The sequence below is a fragment of the Homo sapiens genome, chromosome 8 (genome assembly GCF_000001405.40).
Source record: "Homo sapiens chromosome 8, GRCh38.p14 Primary Assembly".
NCBI classification, from domain to species: Eukaryota; Metazoa; Chordata; class Mammalia; order Primates; family Hominidae; genus Homo; species Homo sapiens.
This window is the reverse complement of record NC_000008.11, coordinates 35,233,774-35,260,353: the sequence shown is the minus strand read 5'-3', so window position 1 is coordinate 35,260,353 and position 26,580 is coordinate 35,233,774. Positions and strand designations below refer to the sequence as shown.

The 26,580-nt window shown below is 38.2% G+C and overlaps 1 protein-coding gene across 17 annotated transcripts in view; it reads right to left on the bottom strand.

Annotated features, from left to right (window-relative positions):
- UNC5D (unc-5 netrin receptor D) overlaps positions 1–24,879 on the bottom strand; it is a 561,066-nt gene extending 536,187 nt beyond the window's left edge. For 16 of the 17 annotated variants that reach the window (NM_001438417.1, NM_001438418.1, NM_080872.4 and 13 more), the window contains exon 1: positions 24,467–24,879. In NM_001438417.1, coding sequence (NP_001425346.1) covers positions 24,467–24,569 — 103 coding nt within the window. In that variant the 5' untranslated portion in view covers positions 24,570–24,879. Of the gene's footprint in view, positions 1–156; positions 8,944–24,466 lie in introns of those variants that run through there. The other variant, XM_047421380.1, reaches the window with a different exon arrangement.
- Positions 24,880–26,580: the final 1,701 nt, after the last annotated feature.

Here is a 26,580-nt window from a genome sequence, read left to right as displayed (position 1 = left end):
TAGATCTTTTCTATAGCTGCTTGTAGTAAGCACCTCACTAGGTAAAATATGGTGCTTTGGAATGATGGACCGCTCCAGAGGTGTCTACTGTATGTCAGGTGTGGTACAAGGCTGAGGTAATGGGGCTGGCTGGTGGCTAAGTTATTTGTTTCTCACCTGACAGGTGAACCGTTCCCTCTGCACTTTCGAGAAGACATAACTATACCTGTCACTCTGAAGGCAAAATTCACTCAGGAATAACACTGGCAAGTTCCTGATGGTGCGTTGATTTCATTCTCAGCGGTTAGAGATTTGGCAAATCATTGCCAAAGAAGGAGGCAGTCGTTTTCTCAATTAAAATCTTCAGAGACACTTTTTTATTTGTATCCTAGCATGAACCTGGGGGGAAAAATGATAAGGACTATTTCTCCTCCAGTGACTTTAAAAGGAAAAAATAAAAATCAAATTCCAGCTACAGCGGAACAGTTTCACTTTCCAAATGTGTACCCTTCCCTGCCCTCTCACCCCTCCCCACTTCCTCCACCTTTTTACCAGCGTCCACATACACTGGCCCGCAGGATATGTCTTCTACATGTTTTCATTACAGCATTTAAAAAAAAAAAAAAAGATCAGTCAGCTTTTTGCACTCTTCTCTCTCGCTAAAGTTGCTTCTGCCCTTTGAAAATATGAAAGCCCTTGAGTGATTTTATATTTTCAAAGGGTAAAAGTGCTAAAGAGCACTCCTCTATTTCAGAGAGGAGGAAAAAACGTAAATCAGTCTGACTAAAGTGTTCACTTGGAAAAGGTAAAAATGAACTACCAACGTGATGGGGAGTAGTTACTGCATCTAGAGTAATAATATATAGCACCCTGGAGTCCACGGCTGGAAAATAAAACACGAGGCAGCAGCCTCAGCTCAAATCTGCATGGCGTCTACTTCTGATGGAACCAATTCTTTTCCAAACAACTATTATGGTAGCTCACGTCCAGCCAGCATTCACTTCTGCCCAGGAAAGTACTGCAATGTGGGTAAAATCTGTGTCCACTCCCCAATCCCCTTCCATCCTAACTACCAGCCAGCCACTGCCAACCACCTCCTCTCCCTTCTCTGAAGATTCTTCCTTGGTGTGTGAATTCTCATTCCTTTCAGAAATCCACAGCCTTTTCTTTAATACACTGGCTTTTCTTCTCTCTGCCTTCTCCACCCCACTGTTAGGAATTACATTATCGAAAGGACTGGAGTTTAGAGCTCAACACCACAGAACAAACCAACACTTAACTGCTCCCAAGGACATTTATCTTTTTCCTTTTTCCATGGAATATAAGGTTTTGTTTTCTGTTGAATGCACCTTCCCAGACAGACCTAAACAGCCAGGGGGAAGAGTACTTCTCCAGATAACGGGCTTTGGTCTTCTTGGTGCTGCCCTGAATCACCTGTCTCTCAAACCTTCTCTGCATGATTCCCACTCAAAATTCACCACACAGATCAGTGATCACTTCCTCTGGGTAAACTCCTACTTCAAAGATTCGGGAGGCTCTTGGCTGTGATGCCATAGCACTCTGAGATGTTTCACTCCCTGCATTTCCCACTTTTCCTTATAGAGTTTATTCTGGCATCTCCCTTGCTAAACTGAAAGATCTTTGATGGCAGCTATAGTCGCTTTTATTTCTAGATCTCAGTTTCCAGCACAGTGTCTCAAATACAGCAGCAGCAGTAGTATTAATAATAAATGTAGATAAAATATTATCTATTATAAATATTTTAAATACTTTGCATATATTAATTTGCTTAATCCTCACAACACCCTGATGTGGTAGGTACTATTATTTATCCCCATTTTACAGATGAGGAGACGGAAACACAGAAAGGTTCAATTATTTTCCTAAGGACACACAGCTCATAAGTACTAAAAAGTGAATCCTAACTCAAGTAGTCTGATCCCCCACACTGTGTGCTCTGCCACTATTCTCTACTGTCTCTTTTAAAAATAACATATTACTATGGTTTGAATGTTTGTGTCTCTCTAAAAATCATGTTGAAATTTAATCCCCAATGCAACCATATGAAGAGGTGGAGACTTTGGGAGGTAATTAGGCCATGAGGGCTCTGCCCTGATGAAACAGGATTTGCCCCCTTATAAAATGGGTTGAGGCAGCAAGTGTGTCCCTTTTTTTGCCCTTCCACCATGTAAGAACACTGTTCCTCCCTTCCTCCATGTGACGATGCAGCAAGAAAGCATCATCTTGGAAGCAGAGAGCAGCCCTCCTAGACATCAAATCTCAGGCACATTGATATCTTGGACTTGCCAACCTCCAAAACCATGAGCAAGAAATGTCTACTATGTATAAACTACCAAGTCTAAGGCATTTTGTTATAGTACCACGAATGGATTAAGACACATGTGTATACAATAAATGTACTCCATACATTGTTTTGGAATGAATTGAAAATGAATAAATTTAGATCCATTGCTCACAATTTGTTATGACTCAGGAAAGCTACTTAATCACTTTTACTTTTATTTTCCTCTCTGCAATGTCACTTTTCTCCCTTTGAGAACTTAATAAAATAGGATCTGCAATCTGGCTAGCAAGGTGCATGGGTGTGTTAAATACGTATGAATTCTCCTGCGGTAATACTGACCAATGGTGTCAATAGTCTTAGGGAGTCTCTGGCAATAAAAGCTCAGTTAGAAATGCAGGTTACTGATTTTACCTGAGGCGACAATTTGGCGTATAATTCATACCACCAACTATTATTCGTTTGTATATCAATGCATGCATAATCTTTGCCCAAAGCAAGGTCATGTCATACATAACACTGACTCCATGGAAAAGGTATTACTATTGCAATTTTAAACCTAGTCCTCTGGATGTACAGAAAGCATCAGGCCCTGAAACAGCAAGCACTGTGAGAGTTAGAGTCCAGTCATCAGCCAGCATAACACTAGTAGGGTGCCTGCTGGCAGACCAGTGCCCCAGAGAGCCAGACTCTATCATTTCTGTGCTATTTAGGCACCGAATGGGGAAACAGAATCTGTGCCCAAGGACAGTTACACAGTAGGAAAAACTGTGATCTATAAACAGGTAATATAAGAGATAGCCAGGCTGGGCGCGTTGGCTGACGCCTGTAATCTCAACACTTTGGGAGGCCGAGGCAGGTGGATCACGAGGTCAGGAGATCGTGATCACCTGACCAACATGGTGAAACCCCGTCTCTACTACAAATAAAAAAATTAGCTGGGCGTGGTGGTGCGTGCCTGTAATCCCAGCTACTCAGGAGGCTAAGGCAAGACAATTGCTTGAACCAGGGAATCAGAGGTTGCAGTGAGCCGAGACGTTGCCGCAGTACTCCAGCTTGGCAACAGAGTGAGACTCAGTCAAAAAAAAACAAAAAACAAAAAAAAAAAAAAAACAAAAAAAGAGCAGGAGAGCCAAAAACAAAACCAAAAAGATGGATTTCAGTATGTATTTGCTCAGGGAACTCCCTACCGTATCTAGTGGCTAAGGAGAAGCTGGGAATAGCTACTTTGGAAAACAAACTACAGCTGGGTCTAAAAGGCATATTATATCCAATATATCCAAAGAATCCTGGACAATTCTATGTCCATCCTCTTCATTATGAAGTTAGAAGCACCTTGATATGATACCAGGACAGCACATATGTGTTGGAGTTAGGCTGCCCTGTGTTCAAATTCTTCCTGCTCCACTTCTTGGAAGTATGGACTTAGGAAAGTATATACCTGAGTTTTAGTTTCTTTTTTTTTTTGTAAAGCACATAATAATGTTCATTTTATAAGGTTATTGTACAAATGAAGACATTTTTATGGTAAGCATCTAGCACAATGAATGGCCCATAGCAGACACTCATATTATCACATAAAACTCCCGTCAGGGCGTTCGGGGCTATGGGAGGGATAGCATTAGGAGAAATACCTAATGTAGATGACGGGTTAATGGGTGCAGCAAACCACCATGACACATGTATACCTATGTAAAAACCTGCATGTTCTGCACAGGTACCCCTGAATTTAAAGTATATTAAAAAAAGTTATGCAGTCAGAGCTCAATTAACCCACAAATATTCATTGTAGTTGGTACCTATTCATCCACTCATCTATTATTCCTTCAGTGACTAAAATGTCCCAAACAAGTATACAAAGATTTAGAAAATAACAAGTCCCTGCCATCGAGGTGCTTTATGAAGAAATATAAACACACATTCAACGTGCTACATAGGGAACCATTAGCTACAAAACACTAACACCATGTATGTGTGTATACACATAGGGGAAGGCACTTCTATAGATGAGGAATTTTAGAAACCTTCCATTTAGAGATGAGTACTTTGGCTATGAAAGATGGTGGTGATGGAGGAATGAATAAATTGAGACCTTCATATAAAATTGAAGTCTGCTATGAAATATGGTCTTCAGATTTTTATTTTCTACCTCTTAATTATTTCAGATGCAGTTTATTAATAAATCACTTTGAGAAGAAGGTGGGAAGGAGACTAGGCAAAGACTGATTGCTCTCATCTTAATTAATTTGCCTATGAAAATTCCATGTAATTGTTTATTTCTATCTAAGACAAAAAAAGCAGAATATAATTTGAATATATGTCATGATGTCATTGCTTAGAGGTGAGGCTATACCACAACTGAGATATTCTCAACACACATAAGAACAGTAAATATTCTAACTAAACACACCCCAATTTCTCTGTGTCTACAGTTGTCAGAAGAGCTCATATTAGCCAAGATCTGATGCTGAGACAAATCTAGTATATGGTAGCATACCAGGAGTAGAAAAACCAGCCTTCTCAGTTGTTTTGGGAGATTAAATAAATACAATTTTTAAACAAACAAACCTCTGTTCTAAATATCAGAATAGTAATCTATCCACACAACATCCTCATCCTGAGAGATTAAAAAAAAATGATGTTGGTTTGTGTCTCTTAATTAGCTCATTTAACACAAAGTACTACTCCATAACTTTTCTGAAGAGCTTGCTACTGGTGGCCTTGAGTCACTATGATGGATGGGTGCGTCTACTCAGGATGACCAGTTGTTAAAAATAACAACTATGTGGTATTTTGACATTATCCAAAGCATTGAAGATGTGTAACAGAACATACAAGATACTTAGCACCAGTTACCAGGAAGCAAACATTCTGAGATGATAAGAAGAGCAACGCTAGAGTGTTAGTTTAGCACTTGAGTGACTGGATGTTCCTCTTCCAAAATGGTGGCGACTAAGAGAAACCAGCAGAGACCTGCAGATCAACAGGGGTACCATGAGAGATGTGGCTTCTAACTTAAGAACTCCCCTGAGGTGGTTATTTTGGGATTTTTTAGAGATTTCTGTTCTCTTTAATACTTTTCTCTATTTTCAAACTTCTTACAATAAGTACATAACAGAGCTTATTTATAAGCTCATTTGAAATTTCAAAAATTTTTGCTTCTTTGATTTTTTCATTTAGTACATCTTGGATACCTAATTTTTACCAAACATAGCCCTGTGCTGGGTGTTGAGAAGACACAGATGAAAAAATTGTCTTTGACTTAAGGGGTGACAATCAAAAGTGAGAGATACCATAAAAAAGAACTAAAATATGGTCTGAATGGTGCAGAAGGAATGTCAAAGTATGGAAACATAGCATTCAAAAGGAAGAAATTAATCTGTAAGGATAGAGAAGATCTATGGACAGTAGCACATGAAAGCAGTTCTCCTGAACAAGGGGCATGAACAAAGGCAGAGGTGCAAATCAGTATATTGTGCTTGGGTAATCCTGAGTGTTTTGATGTTAAGTGAACATCATTTTTAGTAATGGACTCAGTAAGTGTAATGGTCTTGGACCTACCATATATGTGTCTCTTCAACTTTTCTAGCATCTTCATATTGCTTTACACTTCTGGACAGCATTTTAATAGTTCAGCCATTTGATCATGGAATGGATATTAAAAGACACTCTGGAATAAGCTCAAGAAAAAAAGAGACAGTGATGCAAAAACATATGTGAAACTGGGCATTGCATCTAATCTCTATAAATCTCAGTGATCATGGATGGGCAAATATAATGGGAGTGGTCAGGTAATTTCTAAGACCTTCAATTCCAAACCCCAATTTAGTTCAATGATTTACCAAATATCTATTAAGTAAAAAACACTGTATTCATTGTTTAATGCTACCAAAGATGAACAATATATCCTTCCTGCTTCCAAAAGTTTACAACATAATTGGGAGCAAAAGAGAAATAAATATACCTAAGACAATAGCACAAGGCTGAATGTGAGAGGTGTATGAAAGCATTAAACTCTTAAGACAAGGAAAATTGTGGGACAGTTTCGAGACACATTACAGAGTTTAGTTCAGTAGAGAGTACGTGAAGGGAACAGTAGGAAATAAAAACAAAAACGTTTGCAGGAACTCTTTTGAAGAACATTTAATGCCAGACTAAAAAATTCCCATGTATATGTGCAACCTTCATAAATGATGAAGGTGACATTGCAGATCATTAGAGAAAGAAGAAGCTCCTCACTATATACTTCTGGAACAACTGCCTATCCACATGAAAGAATGAAATGAGGCCACGTGGTGGCTCACACCTATAATCCCAGCATTTTGGGAGGCCGAGGCGGGCGGATCACAAGGTCAGGAAATCGAAATCATCCTAGCTAACATGGTGGAACCCCATCTCTACTAAAAAAAATACAAAAAATTAGCTGGGCGTGGTGGCACATGCCTGTAGTCCCAGCTACTCGGGAGGCGGAGGCAGGAGAATCGCTTGAACCCAGGAGGTGGAGGTTGCAGTGAGCTGAGATAGTGCCACTGCACTCCAGCCTGGGCGACAGAGCAAGACTCTGTCTCAAAAAAAAAGAAAAAAAAAAAAAAAAAAAAAGGAAATAAAATCTCTACTCCAAACTCTACAGAGGGAAAAAAAAAATCTACTCCAGGTGGATTAAAGGAATAAATATGAAAGGCCAAAATATAAGACTTTAGAAGAAAGTATGGAAGACTGTTATCAATGAAATTTAAGAAGAATTTCCTAAGCATGACCCAAAAGAGCTAAACATAAGATAATTAAAAACACTGATTACATTGAAATTAAAAATTGTAGCTCCTGAGAACATACCATAAATAACTCCACTTCATCAGAAGATACCTAAAACAAGTGGGGAAGAAAGGAAGCATCAAAGTGGGAGAAGAAGTTCCAATCACATATAACACATTAAGGAGATACACACACACGCACACACACACACACACAGACTAGCTTGCTCACTCTCTCAAAACTCCTATAATTCAATGATGACAAACAAAAAATGAGAAAAAGCCATGAGTAGGTACTTTACAGAAGAAATAAAAATGGCAATAAAACATATGAAAAGATTTTTAACTTTATTAGTAATTGAGGAGATGGAAATCAACTCCCTACAGAGATAATCATATTATATCCAGTAAATGACTGGAAATCACTAGGCCTGGAAATATCAAATGCTGACAAATATAAAATGATGGGAACTCATATCTTGCTGAAATAATTGGCAGTATCTGGAAAAGATAGCATGTTCATCTTCAAGGTCCAAGTAATCTACTCTCACATATATAAAAAAACACTTGAAAGTGTATACCATTAGACACATACACGAATGTTCCTAGTAGCATTTTTCATGCTAGAAAAAAATCTGATAATCACCCAAATTTTACTGACAACAAAATGAATAACTAAATTATGGTATAGCCACACAACTGAATATTGTACTTCAGGGAAGTGAATCAACTAGGGATAGTAAATGCAGTAATACAGATGAAACATAATATTGGGTAAAAAAACAAACTGCTGAAGAATATGTAGACCACAATAAAATTTAAATATATCTCAAAAAGAAGCAAAAGTAACCTATGTTTAGGAGTACACACATATTTGTTTAAACTATTTTTTAAAACAACAGAATAAGCACAAAATTTAAGAGTGATTACTTTTAAGAAGGACCAGAAAAATGGGTTAAAGGAGAAATATGTAGAGGAGTGAAAGATGTTGATAACTTTACTTCTAAGTATAGTGGTAAGTTCATAGATATACATTTTCATCTGATACTTTTTAAAAACTATATTTATTCATATGCAACAATTAAATAAATCACAAAATGTTTTACTTGAACCAGGTTTTACAAGGGGCTTTTCATAAATAAAGAACCATTGGCGCCTGTAGTCCCAGCTACTCAGGAGGCTGAGGCTGGAGAATGGCGTGAACCCCGTGGGGCAGAGCCTGCAGTGAGTCGGGATCGCGCCACTGCACTCCAGCCTGGGCAACAGTGAGACTCCATCTCAAAAAAAAAAAAAAAAAAAAAAGAACCATTGGTAGTTAGGAACAGGGTAGTAATATTAGGAAAGCTTGCTTTAGATGTAATGCCTATGCTATATTTCCTACAATGGCAAAGGTGTGTAGGCCAGGGGTTCCTGCCCACCTCTTTTGGTTAACAGTAGACAGTGACTAGGGCCTCACCCTACTCCGTATGAGGAACTACCAGGCCTACATCCTTCAGACACTAAGATAAGTACAAAAATATTAGTCCTTTCATAAATATGGCCTCTTATCATTTACATCCTGAGATGTAATACCTAAGACACATTAGATGAAGGTTAAAGGAAAACAAGGAATCTCCATTTATGGGCCCCTATGTTCTTGTCCACAAGAGAAACATGGCACAATCTCTAACCTCATGTTCTTAAAATGTTCCTTCCATACTGTATAATCTTTCCATATAATCACATTAGTTTTATTAATACCTGAATTCTTTTACCCTAGCAAGAAAAGGCTAGCTCCCAAAAGGTGAAACGTTGTGTGCCAACATTCAATTTCACTCATGCAAAGGGTTTAGGATGTGATACGGTTTGTCTGTGTCCCCACCCAAATCTCACCTTGAATTGTAGTTCCCATAATCCCCACGTGTTGTGGGAGGGATCCGGTGGGAGATAATTGAATCATGGGGGTGGTTCTCACGAAAGTTCTCATGAGATCCGATGGTTTTACAAAGGGCTTTTCCCCCTTTTGCTCAGCACTTCTTGCTGCCACCATGTGAATTAGGACATGTTTTCTTCCCCTTCTGCCATAATTATAAGTTTCCTAGGGCCTACCCAGCCATGTTGAACTGTGAGTCAATTAAATATCTTTCCTTTATAAATTTCCCAGTCCCAGGTATGTTCTTATAGCAACATGAGAACAGACGAGTATAGGATGCAAGGTGGAAAGATAAGGCCTAATAGGGAGGAAGAGGTGAACCATTGGCGGTCATCTTCATACCTTATGCTTTTGTCATTATAGGAATCTTCAAATAACTTCTTGAATTCTCAAGAAAGGACAGTTTCTATGTTTATACACAATCAATGCATGCATTAAATCCATGGCTCTCATTATCCTAAGGAAATTAATTCAGAAACAGAAAACCAAATACTGCATGTTCTCATTTATAAATGGGACCTACACACTGGGTACACATGGACATAAAGATGGCGGCAAGAGACACTGGGGACTACTAGAGTGGGGGAAGGAGGGATGAAAAAGCAACTACTGGGGCCAGGAGCGGTGGTTCATGCCTGTAATCCCAACACTTTGGGAGGCCGAGGCGGGCGGATTGCCTGAGGTCAGGAGTTCAAGACCAGTCTGGTCAACATGGTGAAACCCCGTCTCTACTAAAAATAGAAAAAAATTAGCCAGACATGGTGGCATGCACCTGTAATCCCAGCTACTCGGGAGGCTGAGGCAGGAGATTTGCTTGAGCCAGGGAGGCGGAGGTTGCGGTGAGCCGAGATCGTGCCACTGCACTCCAGCCTAGGCAACAGAGCGAGACTCCATCTCAAAAAAGAAAAACAAACTAACTATTGGGTACTATGCTTACTATCTGGGTGACAGGATCAATCATTCTCAAACCTCAGCATCACACAGTATACTCAGGTAACAAGCCTGCACATGCACCCCCTGAATCTAAAATATAAGTTGAAATTATTTGGAAATAAATAAATAAATCCATGGCTCTCAGTCTTAAGTTCCCAAATTGGGAACAACCTGAGGAACTTAAAACAAACAAACAAACAAGCAAACAACAACAAACAAAACCCTGGGTCCTTCCCACTGAGATTCTGACTTAAGTGCTCTGAGATCAATGCCTTGGCATCAGCTGACTGAGAACTTCAGAATTAAACTCTTTCTCTTCAGAATTTCAATTACACACATGGGTGTTTCTATAAACAAGGGTTACATTAAACATTTGGGGCTCATCTTTTAATCTAACGTGTTCCAATAAAACCATTTAAACTTTTAAATAACTTAAAAAAACAAAAAAAAGTAAATGCCCACACACATTCAAAGCACCTATGATGTTCTCACCTAACCCTAGGTGAAAATACTACAGATGTTTTCCTTTCTGCAATTTTGAAAAAAAAAAATGGCTTTCAGTGAAGACAAGGGATTTGTAGATTCAAAGCCTGACCACTATTTCTAGCAGCAAGACACTTCACTGATAAATTGCTAAAAATAGCCAAACCTTGAATATTTTGACACCTAATCTCCAAGAATCAAGAGTTTTCAACACTTCTCCAGCAAGGTGGCTTCAACATGAATCATCATAATAGAGGCACAAGAGTTTCATAAGCTCTATACAGGGATTGCTTTTTGCACGTTATTATGGTCACAAGAGATGCAGAATTCACTTTAAAAGAAACTCAGAACTGCATGAGAAGAAGCAACCGAAGTTTTTATTTATTTATTTTATTATTATTATTATTATTATTATTATTATTATTATTATTATTTTGAGACAGAGTTTCCCTCCATTGCCCAGACTGGAGTGCAGTGGTGCAATCTCGGTTCACTGCAACCTCCACCTCCCAGGTTCAAGCGATTCTCCTGCCTCAGCCTCCCGAGTAGCCGGGATTACAGGCACCTGCCACCACACCTGGTTAATTTTTGTATTTTCAGTAGAGATGGGGTTTCGCCATGTTAGCCACTCTGATCTCGAACTCTTGACCTCAGGTGATCCATCTGCCTTGGCTTCCCAAAGTGCTGGGATTACAGGCGTGAGCCACCACGCCTGGCCACCAAAGCTTTTAAAAGTATATCCAGTCACTCTTTTTGGATGTAAATTTATGGCTTTTTGAGGATATCATGGACATATTACTGCCAACATGGAAAGCTGTCTTCAAAATATATATATTTTATGTAGATTTTATATATAATTATATATAATTTTATATATATAATATATATATTTTTTTATATATTATATATAACTTTTATATATTATATATATTTTATATATTATTTTTATATAATATATATTATATAAACATATATAATATATATTATATATGTTTATATATAATATATTATATAAAAATATATAATATATATTATATATGTTTATATATAATATATTATATATTTATATTATATATGTTTATATATAATATATTATATATTTATATAATATATTATATATTTTTATATTATTATAGAATTATATATAAAATATATTTTTAAAATATAAATATTATATATATTATATATTATATTTTTATATATTATATTTTATATATTTATATAATATATTATATATATTTATATATTTTATATATATTATATATTTTTATATATTTTATATATATTATATATTTTTATATATTTTATATATATTATATATAACATATATTTATATTTATAAATATATATATTATATATAACATATATTTATATATTATATCTATTTCATATATAACATATATTTATATATTATATCTATTTCATATATAACATATATTTATATATTATATCTATTTCATATATAACATATATTTATATATTATATCTATTTCATATATAACATATATTTATATATTATATCTATTTCATATATAACATATATTTATATATTATATCTATTTCATATATAACATATATTTATATATTATATCTATTTCATATATAACATATATTTATATATTATATCTATTTCTTATATAACATATATTTATATATTATATATTTTATATAACATATATTTATATATTATATATTTTATATAACATATATTTATATATTATATATTTTATATAACATATATTTATATATTATATATTTTATATAACATATATTTATATATTATATATTTTATATAATATATATTTATATATTATATATATTATATAATATATATTTATATATTATATATATTTTATATAATATATATTTATATATTATATTTTTTATATATAATATATATTTATATATTATATTTTTTATATATAATATATATTTATATATTATATATATTTTATATATAATATTTATTTATATATTATATATATTTTATATATAATATTTATTTATATATTATATATATTTTATATATAATATTTATTTATATATTATATATATTTTATATATAATATTTATTTATATATTATATATATTTTATATATAATATTTATTTATATATTATATATATTTTATATATAATATATATTTATATATTATATATATTTTATATATAATATATATTTATATATTATATATATTTTATATATAATATATATTTATATATTATATATATTTTATATATAATATATATTTATATATTATATATATTTTATATATAATATATATTTATATATTATATATATTTTATATATAATATATATTTATATATTATATATATTTTATATATAATATATATTTATATATTATATATATTTTATATATAATATATATTTATATATTATATATATTTTATATATTTTATACATATTTATATATTATATATATTTTATATATTTTATACATATATATATATAGAGAGAGAGAGAAGTTATTTAGGATCTCCTAGTAGATTCATACTGAACAAATTTATTATTAAGGATCCAGATGTTAAGTAACTGGAACAAAAGCTTAAGATTAAGACTTAAGGCACCCTAACTTTCACCCAAACACAAAACGAATCTATAATGCAAACCTTTTTTACAATATTATTTCTGCTACACCAAACTGCATCCATCATATCATGACCTCAGCATTCTGTAAGCCAAAGGAAAAAAAAAAAATCTCTGTAATTTCAAAGATATTTTAGAAAAATATAAACATTTAAATAAAAGGAAAACATCCTTTAACAGAAGGGTAAAATGATCAATAGTCTTTAGTCTTCTGGTATCATTCTTTTGAATTCCTTTGTGCCTCTATTGATTACTTTTGTTATTATAAGCCTGAAAGGGAAGAGGCAAGGACAACACTGAGAAAATGAAGACCTGGATTCATGGGCAGGGACGGACGGAAATGACCTCTAAAAGCCAAGCAAGCAACTTCACTCCTCAACACCTTTTTTTCTCATGTACAAATTTGGACTTTGGCCTGGAAATTTTAGGGCCCTTTTTAGCAATGTAATTTTATGATTGTTTTTCTTTGCAAATGGGAAACAGAGAGCCACAGAAACTCAGTGATCAAATCAGTGTTCAATAAAGGGCCATGACATAACACTATTCTACAAATCTAGAAAAAGTGTTGTATGCCCACAGCTCAAGCGAAGATAATTACTGAAAATGAGGACCAACTGGCTCCCTGATTCTTTAAATCTCTTAACAAAACATGACCAAGTCATTGATTTGAGACAAACTGGAGGGCCGAGTGCCATATCTTGTGAGTTTTGCTGGAGTCGTGATGCTTCGTGAAAACAATTTGATAAGACTTCAGATCTGCAAGTTTAACATGAAATTTCATATATCTGGTATCTACTAAAAAAAAGAAAGAAGTCAATCTAGCAAGAGGGGTCCCATACACCCAACTGAGCAATGGTGAGCTATGGCAGAGGGTGCCTAACTCCTCCAGGTCTTCTCCTGCCAAACCACTTCTGCATTAGTTATACATGTATGCATTAACCTACAGCCACTGATTTAAGAGAAATCAAAACAAAAAAAAATAGATTTCTCTTATAGTTGGTACATTCTTGAAAATGCTTAAGCCAAGGATTACCAACGTCATTATGAAGTCCCATTAACTTGTCCTGCAATTTCTATTTCCAGAGTATTATCCCTTTACTGAAGGTTTGATGCATATTTAAAATGCCAAGAAAAGCTTCCTGAAATGATAAAAAAATAATGTGAATAAACGGTACAGAAAACAAAGGGCGGCATCACGGAAGTTCAGAGCAGGAAGGAGCCTTAATGACAATTTAGTCACTGCTTCTCCTACAAATAAAAAGAACTAGAGAAAAAAGTGATGTTTCAAGTACACATAATTGTGAACTTTCTAGCCCCCCACATTGCTTAAATGGAAAGGAAGTTTTGACTTGAAGAGGAGAAAGGAAACAAGAAAAGACCGAGCATAGGGGGTTAGATGGGAGACACCATGGAGAGTGAAGTGATGGTTAGCAGAATTAAGCAGCTGACTTTTGAGTCAAAATTGTGATTACATCCCAAGTTTAAGTGTTACTAATGCCATTTAAATTAATGGCATATAACTTTAATGATCTAAGTTTGCTATGATGATGATATATGACATTCTACTAATATATAATACACACAGATATCCATGAATTACAGTCCTTATCACCTTGACAATTATTAATAATTGACTCTACAATGGTCTTCTCCGCTGCAGAATGTGGTAGGTTAGAGCTGTCTTTTCACATTGATATCCTGGAGACTGATGTGCATTGCAAGTTAGCTGCTAAACTTTAGAAAACATCAGATGGATATTTTTATTTTTTGCTCTAAGTTGAAAAATAAAATTAATAACAAACCTGTTATTTCTTTATAGCAAACCCCCAAACCCTTATATCCCTCCCACACACCTCACACTGACAAAACCTGTGAACATCCTGATTGCTTTTTTTAAGAGAAACAACTTTGGAAACCTCCCGATACAAGCTGCTAGTAATCACTGCAGCTTCTGGTCCCAAGACTGAGAGAGAAACAAGGGCTGTCTATTCAGAGGAAGGATAGATTCTTTCTTTTCCCAGTTCCTTTCAAAAGGCTTACAACACAGTTATAGTTCTCTGGCAAAGAACTGTATTTTGTGCTCTGTATTTTTTTTCCATCTCTCTTAAAAAAAACAGGCTAGACACTTCTTAATGACATATTGATGGAAATTGTTATTATAAGTCTAATTGTATTGTGCCACTAAACTGCTTTCGAACACAAATCAGAAGAATTTCGCTTTACAACTGGACACAGAAAGTAAAAATAAAGCACATACACTCAAAAGTAATAATAAAGACGAGGTATTTAGAAAAGTACGCAGATTGAGGAGCTAGTATACTTCTAAAAAATTGGTGTCTCTAATGGCATATTTATTTAATTAATTAATTTTTTTGGAGGGACAGGGTCTTGCTCTGTCTCCAGGAATGGAATGCAGTGATTATGGCTCACTGTCACCTCAAATTCCTGGGCTCACACAGTCCTCTGACCTCAGCCTCCCGAGTAGCTGGGACTACAGGCACGAACAACCACGTCCAGCTAACTTTAAAAAAAAAAATGTGCAGAGAAGAGAGTCTGGCTATGTTGTCCAGGCTAGTCTCAAACTCCAGGCCTCAAGCCATCCTCCCACCTCAGCCTCCCAAAGTGCTGGGATTATAGGCATGAGCCACTGTGACCAGCCTGTAATAGCATCTTTAAAAACAAAACCTGAGAAAAACTACTGTAATTTGTTATTTTACTTACTTTAATAAACTACTTTAAATCCCCTGATTTTTCAAAAGTTCTTCAGAATATTCTACACATCAATTACTCCATACTACAGCATGTTATTTTTAATATATTCATAAAGTTACTGTCCTCCAATCATTCCTGACACATTTGTGACAGCCCTTTGTCACAGACAGGGCCATTTCTGTTTATAACCATGAGAAACATACCACCCTACAGACCAAGAAGGCACAATAGGCAGTGAAATGAATTTTTATCCATTTATTTCTCTTTCTGTCTCCGATGCTTATACATCCACATCCCTGTCAAATGGACTATGAGTGAAGTGCTGTATCATCCCACCTCAGTATAATCAATCCATGTGCTAATAAAATAGAATTACATGGTAACATCATCGAAAAGGCCCTGAAACCATGAAGGCTTGGCTTCTAGTCCTAGCACTGTTTATCACTACCTGTTTAGGTTTGTTCGACTTTGGTCAAAAAATCTCTAAAGTCAACCTTAATTTCATCATCTGTTCAATATTAGGGCGGGTACAAAGATACAAAGCAATCAGAATTAAGTGAGTCCCCTAAAAATGTTAAGTTGCATGCACATGAATTAAACAGCCACGCATAATAGGACCACATGATAGATGTCACTTAATCATCTTTCTAGAAGAATCTATCTAGGAATGTAGGCCTTAGTATCTGTCTAAAACAAATGTCAAACCCTCTTACAACTATTTTATTCTTCCTCTGGTGAATAAAGTTTCCTAAGGGTTTTATCACAGTATTGATTAGATTTTTGAAATTTTATTCTAAATATTTATGCCTTAATAAAGTTCGAGTAACACACATTATTCAACATGTGCTATGGGACAAGCCCTATCAGGTACTGGGTAAGTAAAAGTGAATGAGATGGAACTTGCATCAAAGGCAGAGGGGCCTGACACAACCTCCACACCATGTTGGGATAAGGATCCAACCGCTTGGGAAACATCACTACCCCATATGGACTCACTGCTCTGTTTTTTTTAAAACAACTGTTCTCATTCTATCTCTTGCTTAACTATAGCCTCATCCCCTCATTATCCTGAACTTCGGATCATTCTTAAGCATATGTAGCTCCTGCCAAGAGAATAACGTGAAAGAGTGCTACAGAAAGTTAGAAAGGCCTCTTATTTAACAAAAATCTGACTTTGGGCAAACTGGTAAAATTCTGGGTGAGTCAATTTCCTCTTTATGACAAGAAATAAATTAGATGCAGATATAAGACCCCAATTAGCTCAAAAGGAAATCCAAGACTTTTAAAATATTGTGAAACTGGAGCAGCATCTTTCTTTATAAATGCTTTATATTGCATCAGGACGGCGCCCTCAGAATGCCTATTTGTTTTATAAGTGGCTGTTTGTCTGAGTTAAAATTGACATTTGTGTTTTCTTACTCTTCAATTGGCATTTTAAAAATATTCTTACATGGAATTCCACTTCATACTGGCTTGCAAAAGAAAAAACAATATTGAAAATAGAAAACAAGAATTACTATCATCCATGGCCCCCAGATGGTGTCATCTGGGAGTTTATCAGAAATGCAGAACCTCAGGCCCCTCCCCAGGTTTATTAAATCAGAATGTGCATTTTAACAAGATCTGCAGTAATTCAAATGCACATTAACATCTGAAAAGCACTGATTTGTGAGTTTCAAATATTACCAGCTTAGCTTCCATAACCCATGATCATTTGACTTCCCCTTCTCTCCCAGTAGGTTTATTACACTAAATTAAAATAAAGATGTTAACTACTAAATAAGTACTGTTGCTAACAGAAGACACCAATGACTTCTAAGCAACCCTAAACTACCAGATATTTATTTAGAGGCAAATCTTCTCCAATATTGAGTAAATACGTTCTCTTTAATAATAAGTTGCTGGCCAGGCACGGTGGCTCATGCTTGTAATCCTAGCACTTTGGGAGGCTGAGGTGGGCAGATCCCGAGGTCAGGAGTTTGAGACCAGCCTGACCAACGTGGTGAAACCCTGTCTGTAAAAATACAAACATTAGCCAGGCACAATGGTGCATGCCTGTAATCCCAGCTACTCGGGAGGCTGAGGCAGGAGAATTGCTTGAACCTGGGAGGCAGAGGTTGCAGTGAGCCAAGATCCTGCCACTGCACTGCAGCCTGGTGACAGAGCGAGATCCCATCTCAAAAATAAATAAATAAATAAATAAATAAAATAATAAGCTGCCAACACCTGTGAATTGTATCACACAAAGCATAGTCATCCCAGTGGTGGTGAGTCCCTTGAAGTAGTTCAGACAGTTTCTTCACTGTGGCCTCTTGCATCTTCTCCTTCCTATGCCTGCCTACCAGTTACTTACCTTCCCAAATGTCTGTGATGTCATTTCCCCTCTGACTTATCTGACTGGGAAGCCATAGCATTCAATTTAGGTAACGACAAAACATCTGTAAAGTTTCTTATTCAAATCCCACGTGGTTACAGTGATATTTTCCCACCTGTGGAAAAATACCCTTAAATACAATGTGGGCTGGAGTGGTGGGGGTACCTGTACCAATCTTTCTGGGAAGGAGGGTTCTTTTGCACCTTATGAATCCAGTAATTTGGGGGCAGAAAGTCAATATTTGCATTAAATAAAGCCAACATTGACCTCTCTTGGAAGACAGCTTTCAACTTTTTCAGTCTCCTCATTTATAAAATAAACTATCAAAAGAAAAGAAGTTGATAAATGGGTACAAATATACCACTTAATAGAATAAGACCCAGTGTCTGATAGATCAGTAGGGTGACTATAGTTTATAATAATCTATTGCATATTCCAAAATAGCTGAAAGAGAACAATTCAAATGTTTCTAGCATAAAGAAAAGATAAATATCAAAAGGTGATAGATAACCCAGTACACTGATTTGATCTTTACTAATTATATTAATGTATTAAGTTATTACTTGTACCCCAAAACTATGTACATGTACTATGCGTCAATTTTAAAAAGTGTTAAAATTTAAAAATAAAAAATAAAAGCTACTCTGAAGTTTGAAAAAAAAAAAGTGAGACTGGTCATATAAGAAGAATACTGACCTCATTTTATCCTTGTCCTGATAGAAACAATATTCAGAAATATTTTATGCTCTATAGTGGCCTGATATCATCTGAAAAATGTTACTACTTGGTTATTGTTTCTACTTTAGCCCCATAAACACAACCCTCATATTTCTATCACTGAATTCAGTGAAGTGGTGTGGGGGGAGTGGTGGTAGGGTGAGCACAAAATACTTACACAGCGAAAACATACTCCTTTCAAGAGAAAATTCCAAAACCACAGGAATTAGCAGTGGATTTCAGATAACACAATCCAAAATGAATACATTAACATCCACCTAATTCTGAAAATTATCTACGCACAGCGTGTGTATGCACACAATAAGGCCATACGATGCAATGTGGCACAAACAATTAAAAGTTCTTTTCAAAGTGGAAATGCAAAATAGAACGAATATCTATTTTCTATAAATGAATCTAGCCATCTGCCTCACAAGAGCAGCAGCAGGAGTACCCAAAACAGCAGAAACAGCAGCCTCTGGTGTTAACAATCTATTCTCAAATCTCATGCTCCACATTTCCCTGGCAAACAAGGCTAAAAATACAAGACATGCAACAAATAGTCTCGTGGGATCTGCCGTTCCATGGATGGCGTATTCAATCAGAGTCATATTTTCTGCCGAAATTCAAAATTGAAAACAAAAGCAAGCTATCATATTGGAAACTGGCACTCAGAATTTTAAGTGTGAATCCAATCCCAAAGTATAGTAAGCTGAATGGGGAGAGGGCGGTTATTTTCAAACAACACAAATCTTTCAGATTTATCTGAACATATTTATAGACTTATTTAAGGTACTCTAAATTCCTCTATGCCTCTTGATAGTAATAAAGATATCATTTGAGTACTTTTGTCATCAAAATACAAGGGTCATTTTCTTTTCTGCATAGTTCAGAAAAATTGTCTTTGTTGTGGGCCCTGGAGTCAGATGGAGTAGGTACAAATCTAGGCCCTACTATGTCCTAACTCCATGGCCTTGGGCAAGCTTTCAATCCTGTGTCCCTCTTTTCCTATCTTACCAATGGGGGTAATCACAGTACTTACCTCAAAGAGTTATCTTCAGGATTACATCAGTTAATGTTTGTAGAGCATTTAGAATTATGACTCTCACACATGAAGTAAGTACTATTATTAGGAGTATTATTTCATACTCAACTAAGTATGAAAGTATTACTAATAAGTATTACTATTATTTCATGTAAGTATTATTTCATATTCAAACAAAGTTGCAGAAATGTATTTATTATTTTAAGGAACAGGTACAATACAAAAAGAGTGCTAACAACATGATAATAGGTCTTATGCCGGCAGTAGCCATTTAGAAAGTAAAGGGGTGAGGCCAGATGTGGTGGTTCATACCTGTAATCCTAGCACTTTGGGAGGCCAAGGCAGAAGGATCACCTGAGCCCAGGAGTTCAAGACCAACCTGGGCAAAATAGTGAGAGCTAATCTCTACAAACAAACAAACACACACAAAAAATTACTGAGCCGGGTGTGATGATGCATGCCTACAGTCCCAGCTACTCAAGAGGCTGGGGTGGGAGGATCACTTGAGCCTAGGAGTTCGCCACTGCAGTGAGCTATGATGGCACCACTGCACTCCTGCCTGGATGACAGAGTGAGAACCTGTCTCAAAAAAGAAAAGAAAAGAAAAGAGAAAAGAGAAAAAGGAAAAAGGAAAGGAAAGGAAAAAAGAAAAGGAAAAGAAAGAAGGAGGGAGAAAATAAGTGTCTCTACATAGAATATGTGACTAAGAATGAAATAGAAATAGGGAACGTTTCCATTGATCTATTCTGTTGAGCAGTTAGTTCATGAAGGTATCAGAAGGAGGAGGAAGGAAGAGAAGACAATGATGTTGCTGGCCAAGTAACAGCCTGGACGAAGGGACAATCAGCATTAATGGCAAAGGTGTAATCAAGAAGGAGGGCACATCTGGGCTCCCTGTGAACACATGTGCCTTCCCATTATGAGGGCATCACACACCACCACCACCCCCTTCCTTAAGAGGATGCTATGGAATAAATCACTTGTCTTTGGGATTAGATTTTAATACATGTCTGAGTCTCTAGCCTAGATATTAAAAAAAAAAAAGCAGAAGGGAAGGATATCAAACATGCAGTATCTCCCAATAAACCAATTCCCTGATAAACACTGGCAGTGCTTTAAGTTGGGTACTGCATTTGGTAGGAAGAGGACAATAGAAACAAATTTATGAAGCATTGAGACAATAAACAGAAAAGTGATTTCCTAATCAATAAGACAGCGCAGTGTAGAACTACCTGACGGATTCAGTCATCCAGTCCTGAGAGAGCTCAGAAAGGATCCACAGCTCCAAATGTTTCCCTCCCCTGTGAGGTACTACTTAAAGAACCACAGACCCACCGATAGGTCATCTGGAGAGCAAAAAAAGTATGCAAAGGGTGACAAGTGCTATCATTATAGGGCTAGGTCAGAACAATTAATCTCTTATTAAAAACTGAGATGCTTAAAAGATCTCTTAAGAAGGTGCCACTGGGCTGCTCAAAATAAGAGCACAACCCAAGAATCAGGAAAAAATAAGTCTGGCAGGAAATAGGGGAAAAAGACTCTTTCTCATAGTCCTAGGAAGAGAAAGATTTGTGAGGAAAAGGAACAGAAGAAGTAAAGTGGGAAGGAAGAGGGTGGCCTCACAACATTCATTAAGGTAGAAATGACTATAGATTTTAAACTTTATGAGCTAGACAGATAGACGGATTTAAGTATGTGTAAATCACAAGACTATTATTATGCCTATGTAATAAATGTGTACTTCTCTTGCCATTAATGCATTACTCTAGTTATTGCAATCAAAATTTCATTGTCCAGGAAATGTTTTAAAGCAAGAAATTGTATGAAAGCTCAGCTTGTCTAAGATTATCTTCCTCTCTGCCTTTAATGACTACAGTATCTTATGTACAGTATCTAAGGCAAAAATAACAAGCAGATGAACAGCAGTCCCCCTTTTTTTCTTGAAGAACAAAAACAAATCAGTATGACAACATGATGTGGATTCAGTTAGCACTTGGCAGGTCATGAATAACTTTTAAACAACCTCCTTTTAAGTTGGAAAGTGTAAAAATATACAGTGATCATGGCACCAGAGTGCCTTCCTTACAATATGCCGACAGGCAGAGATGTTCATCTGAAGAGCTAAGTCTTACTTACAAAGGAGGGAAACAGAACATTGCTTCTTGGGCCACTACTGGGCTCTACAACATTTCCTTGTCCCAAGGGTCTTCCTCCTAGAGTATATTCAAAACCAATTTGAAATCTCCCTCTGATTTGCAGAGGTTTCTACATAAGTATGGAGGGAAAGGAAAGAAAAAAAAAAGTTGGTGCAATCATTTTGGAAACAGATAAATGATAAATATGGTAAAGAAAACGCTACTGAATTGTTAAATATTCTCATAACAGCAAGGCAAATGGCATAATTCTATACCCCGTTGGTTAGGGCAAGCAAAGTATCTTGTTTCAAATCAACAAGAAAAGTCCTAAAGAACAAAAACTATTAATTGGATAAGTAAGAACAACCTAGGGCTAATCCTAGAGAGTATGGTGAGACTAGTGGTCAGGCAAGCATGCCACACCAGTGCATCTTATCTTGGTTTTAATGAATGGACACCTTTCTGGGAAGGGAGAACTTCATAAGCACTGAAACACACCCTCTATTCTGAAAACTCCAATTACACCCAACTGTGCAAAGCCAGGTGCATGTGGCTTCACCGGTTTCACAGCCTGACTAGTGCTCATTTCTTGAGGACTCTCTGACAGTTGCTAAGGGGAATGGGCCTCATGCCCCAGAATGTAAAATATGACATGGGAAATATCAGTCAGATTTACGGCTCCACTCCATGTGTCTTGCATATTACTATGATCTGTGCAAGACATTTGTTGTAAATAAGCCTGCAGAATGTACAGCATGTTTTCCAGGAGACCTTTAAAGAACAGCTTGCAGACAAGAGGTGCTAGCCTTAGTTTCGCAGCCAGCAAAACTCCATCCAAGAGGCTGCTGGCATGTCCCCACCTCTTGTTTCGAGCTGGCTTCAAGACAACGTCACCAACCCAATTCCAAGGGTGAGTACCTGGAGTTAGTGACTGTGAGGTATTCCACACGAATAGTAAGTGGAAACTCAGACATTTAGATTAACATTTAGAAAAGACCCACTTTTCCCATAAGAGTGTATTAAAAACAACTGAGAGCTGACTTTGCAATGAGACATTTGCCGTACGTAGTAAATTAAATGGCTGAAGCTTGTGCTTCTTCCAGTACGAGAAGGAACTGTGGTTCATCATAACCCAGGGTGTACAATCACCGACGCTCATTTTTAAACCTCCCCTGCTTCTTACAAAGCCCGCTCCATTAAAAAAAAAAAAAAAAAAAAAAAAAAACTTTTCAGGAAATGAAATGCAAATGGGCAAAGAATAGGATCATACAATGGAGAGCCTCTATCAACCTCTTAAAAAGAAAATCTTTCTAGGCAGCCGGACTGCTTTTAACACGCCATAAGCTTTTATAAAAATGAGATAACATTGGTTCTTTTGTGATCGTCCTCAACCCTTTCCACCCTTTCACTCTCCAGGCTGGTCGGAGCATGTTCAGGAGACCGAACAGAGCAGGTGAAGTGGTCAGCTCAGCTCCACCTCTCCCCTGGCAAGTGTAAGGCAAATCATTTAACGGTATCACATATTCTAAGCCTGATGGATGGAACACAGAGAAGGAAAAAGGGAAAGAAGGGCGGGAAGGCAAAGCTTCCGATTTTTTTCAAAGGTAAAGCTCCGGTACTTGAGCTGTGTCTGAAACTGCCTCTGATCATCTTCAAAACAACTCCTTGGGATTTATCTTTAACTTGATGCTGCCTGTCCTCGCTCAAGGTGGAGCTGAAACCAGTTGCGAAATTTCCCTCTGCTGGAGTCCAGAGGATCCAAGAAAATGGGGTCTAGGCTTCTAAGTCGGAAAGAAGCAGAGGTTTCCCTGCGGCTCGGTGGGGCCCGCGCTTCCAAGCCAGAGTAGGCGCCGGGAAGGGAGAGGAGGCGCCTGGTGAGCAGCCTCGGGCCAAGTGCTCATCCCGGCTGGGCACTGCAGGCGCGGTTAAACTGGGATGGTGCACGCCGCTCTCCCGAGCTCCAGGGCTGGCTGGGACCTCGGGCTAAGGACGCCCGAGGGGTGCCAAGCTAGGCGCAGAGCGAAGGGACTTCAGCATGGGTGTTCCTCCCCTAAGGGAAAAGACACCCTCTCTGTTCAAGCCCACCCTACAGACACTCCCATCACCTGGCCCCTCTCCCCAGGAACTCTCCGACATCGCTATGGGCGCTAACTCATGACCAAGCTCGGCTTGAGAGGAAGTGGAGAGGAGAGGGGAGAGCGAGATTGGAGTGAAGACCGGGCTACTCCAGTCTGCAGCAATTGGGGAGGGCTTGGAAAATGGAGCAGGCAAGGAGGGTCCAGGAAAACGGTAGGGGCCCGGGTCACAGCCACCTGTAGGATTGCGGCAGATCGCAAACTTGGGTTGGAAGGCTGTGGTCCCCTCGGAGTCCTCCACTCGGCTCCCATCCGGTTGGGCTTGGAGCGCCGAGGTGCAGGGCGCAAGTTGGGAAGCCAACGCCATCGGTGCAGGTCCCGCTCCGTCAGGCTGGCGCCCCTGCGCCCTCGCCCCCAGCTGCCCGCTCCGCCCAGCGCTTACCTCGGGCAGCCGCGGTCCCTGCCGCCCAGAAGCACAGCCCCAGCCACGGGAGCCAGCGGCGCGCCCCTCCGCCGCCGCCTGCGGTGGCCGCCGCTCTCCCCATGCTCCTCGCCGCGTTCCGGAGGGCGGCTCTTCTTCACGCTCCGGGAGCCCGGGAAAGGGTCGGCGATGAGGGTCCCGAGTCGAATGGGTCTCGGGAGTCTTCAGAGAGTGACTCTGCTCCACGATCGCTTCCTAAAGCAGCGGGGCAGGGAGCTCCGAGCCGCCGCTGAATGGGCACCCCGAGAAAGGGCGCGTCCCCATAGCTTCCCACGGCGCGGCGACCGCTGCCGCCAGCGCGGATGCCGGAGTCGCCCGCAGTCCCCGCCGCGCAGTTCCCAGCCCTCGCGCCGCTGCCGGGCCCCGAACTACGGAGCGGAGGCGAGAGTCCGCATCGCTAATGAGACCCCCGCAGCCGCCCCTTCCCCTCCCCTCCGAGCGGCAGCCAATGAGCCGGGCTGGGGCGGGGCCGCGGGAGGGGCGGTGACGCGGCGGCGCTGGGCTGGGGCCCGGGAGGCGCAGGTGAGCCAGAGGCCGCTCCACGTGCCCCCGGGGCGCTTCGGGCCCCGCCTGCAGCTCCCCCCCCCGCTCGCGGAGAGAGGAAGCGGGCTGGGAGTCGGGCGGCGGGGATGCGGCCACGCCGCGGGGAGCTGAGCGGAGCCGGCTGGCCTCTTGGGGCGAACGCCGCACAGATATGTGGGCATCTCGGTTGCCTAACTCAGTCACCTGCTTCCAGGAGACCTCCGTTTTGTTCATCTACTTTGAGCCCTTCTAAAGTCCTGCCTCTCCTACTTCCACTTTTTCCCATTAGATCAGACATCACTCAGGAAAACATCCTGAGAAAAAGAAAGACTTAAAATAAATGCGTAGTGGGAAAAAATAATAATGGAGTTACTCCATTGCTGCAACTATGCTAACTTCATTCATATAAATAAAGAAGTGGGGAATAACAATCATGGGTGCATTAAGGCTTGTATAATCGATTTTTATTTTTGCTTTCTTTTTTTTTCGAATTCCCTATTCTGTTGTCCTGAACACTCCGGAATCCCCAAACTTTTCAGAAGCTCCCTCATTTCGAATGGCTCCTATTTTTGTCAGTTTTAATCTGAGCCCAAGGAATTGCCTTCTGGTAAGTATCAGGGAAAGGAGTGTCGACTTAAAAAGGAAGAAGGTGAGGCGAAATTAATATAAGTAAGAGTTTATTTGGGCCAAGTGTGAGGATTGCAACTCAGGAGTATAGATTTAAGTTGTTTTGAATATATATTTTGATTAGTAGTAGTTATAAGTGGATTCTTAAAGGCAAAAAAAAGGGGGATGGGGAGTGGACTGATGTAACATTGTTAGGAATTTATACTGATTTATTGAAATAATGTCGATTAGTGATTAGTTATATATAGTTAAGTCATAGGATGTGGGTTATACTGTTTGATGTGGTATTATTAGGTTAATTTATAGCTATTTGTAGTAATAGTATGTAGTTTTAAGAAATGAATATATAGTTTAAAGGAAGGAGTAGGGCATGATTGTGGTCTCATTCTAATGTCTCTCTGGGCCTGACAATTAAAAGGACTTTGAAACGCGCTGGACTTTTATAAGAAGAAGGAAAGAAGACTCTTTTTTTTTTTTTTTTTAAGTGTGGCTTGTTTTAGATAGATTATCAAATTTTTATTTAACTGCTTTCGAAAATACCTCACGGTTGCCTCTTCCCTCTGCTGGAGGAGTAACTTTAGAGAGCTTGTCCTAGGTCACTCAATTTCAGAGCACACCCAGGAAGTTGGTGGGGAGTCCCAGGCTCCCCAATTGGACTACCTCATTATCGCTGCCAGGATCGAGTCCTCAAAATGGCAGCAGAGCTCACCTTTTGCCTGGTAATCCCCCATAGAAAAGGGAGCCTTGGTTTGAAAGGCAACCTTCCCAGCAGTTCCTCACTACCCACGCTCAACATCAAGTACTTTTCAAAAATCCATGTCTCCCGCCAATGTGCTACCTGCTCCCAAACGCCTTTCTCTGAAGAATAAACAGTTTAAGGTGAGGTAATTGTTCTAGATGAGGTAATTGCACTAACTCACTTTCTT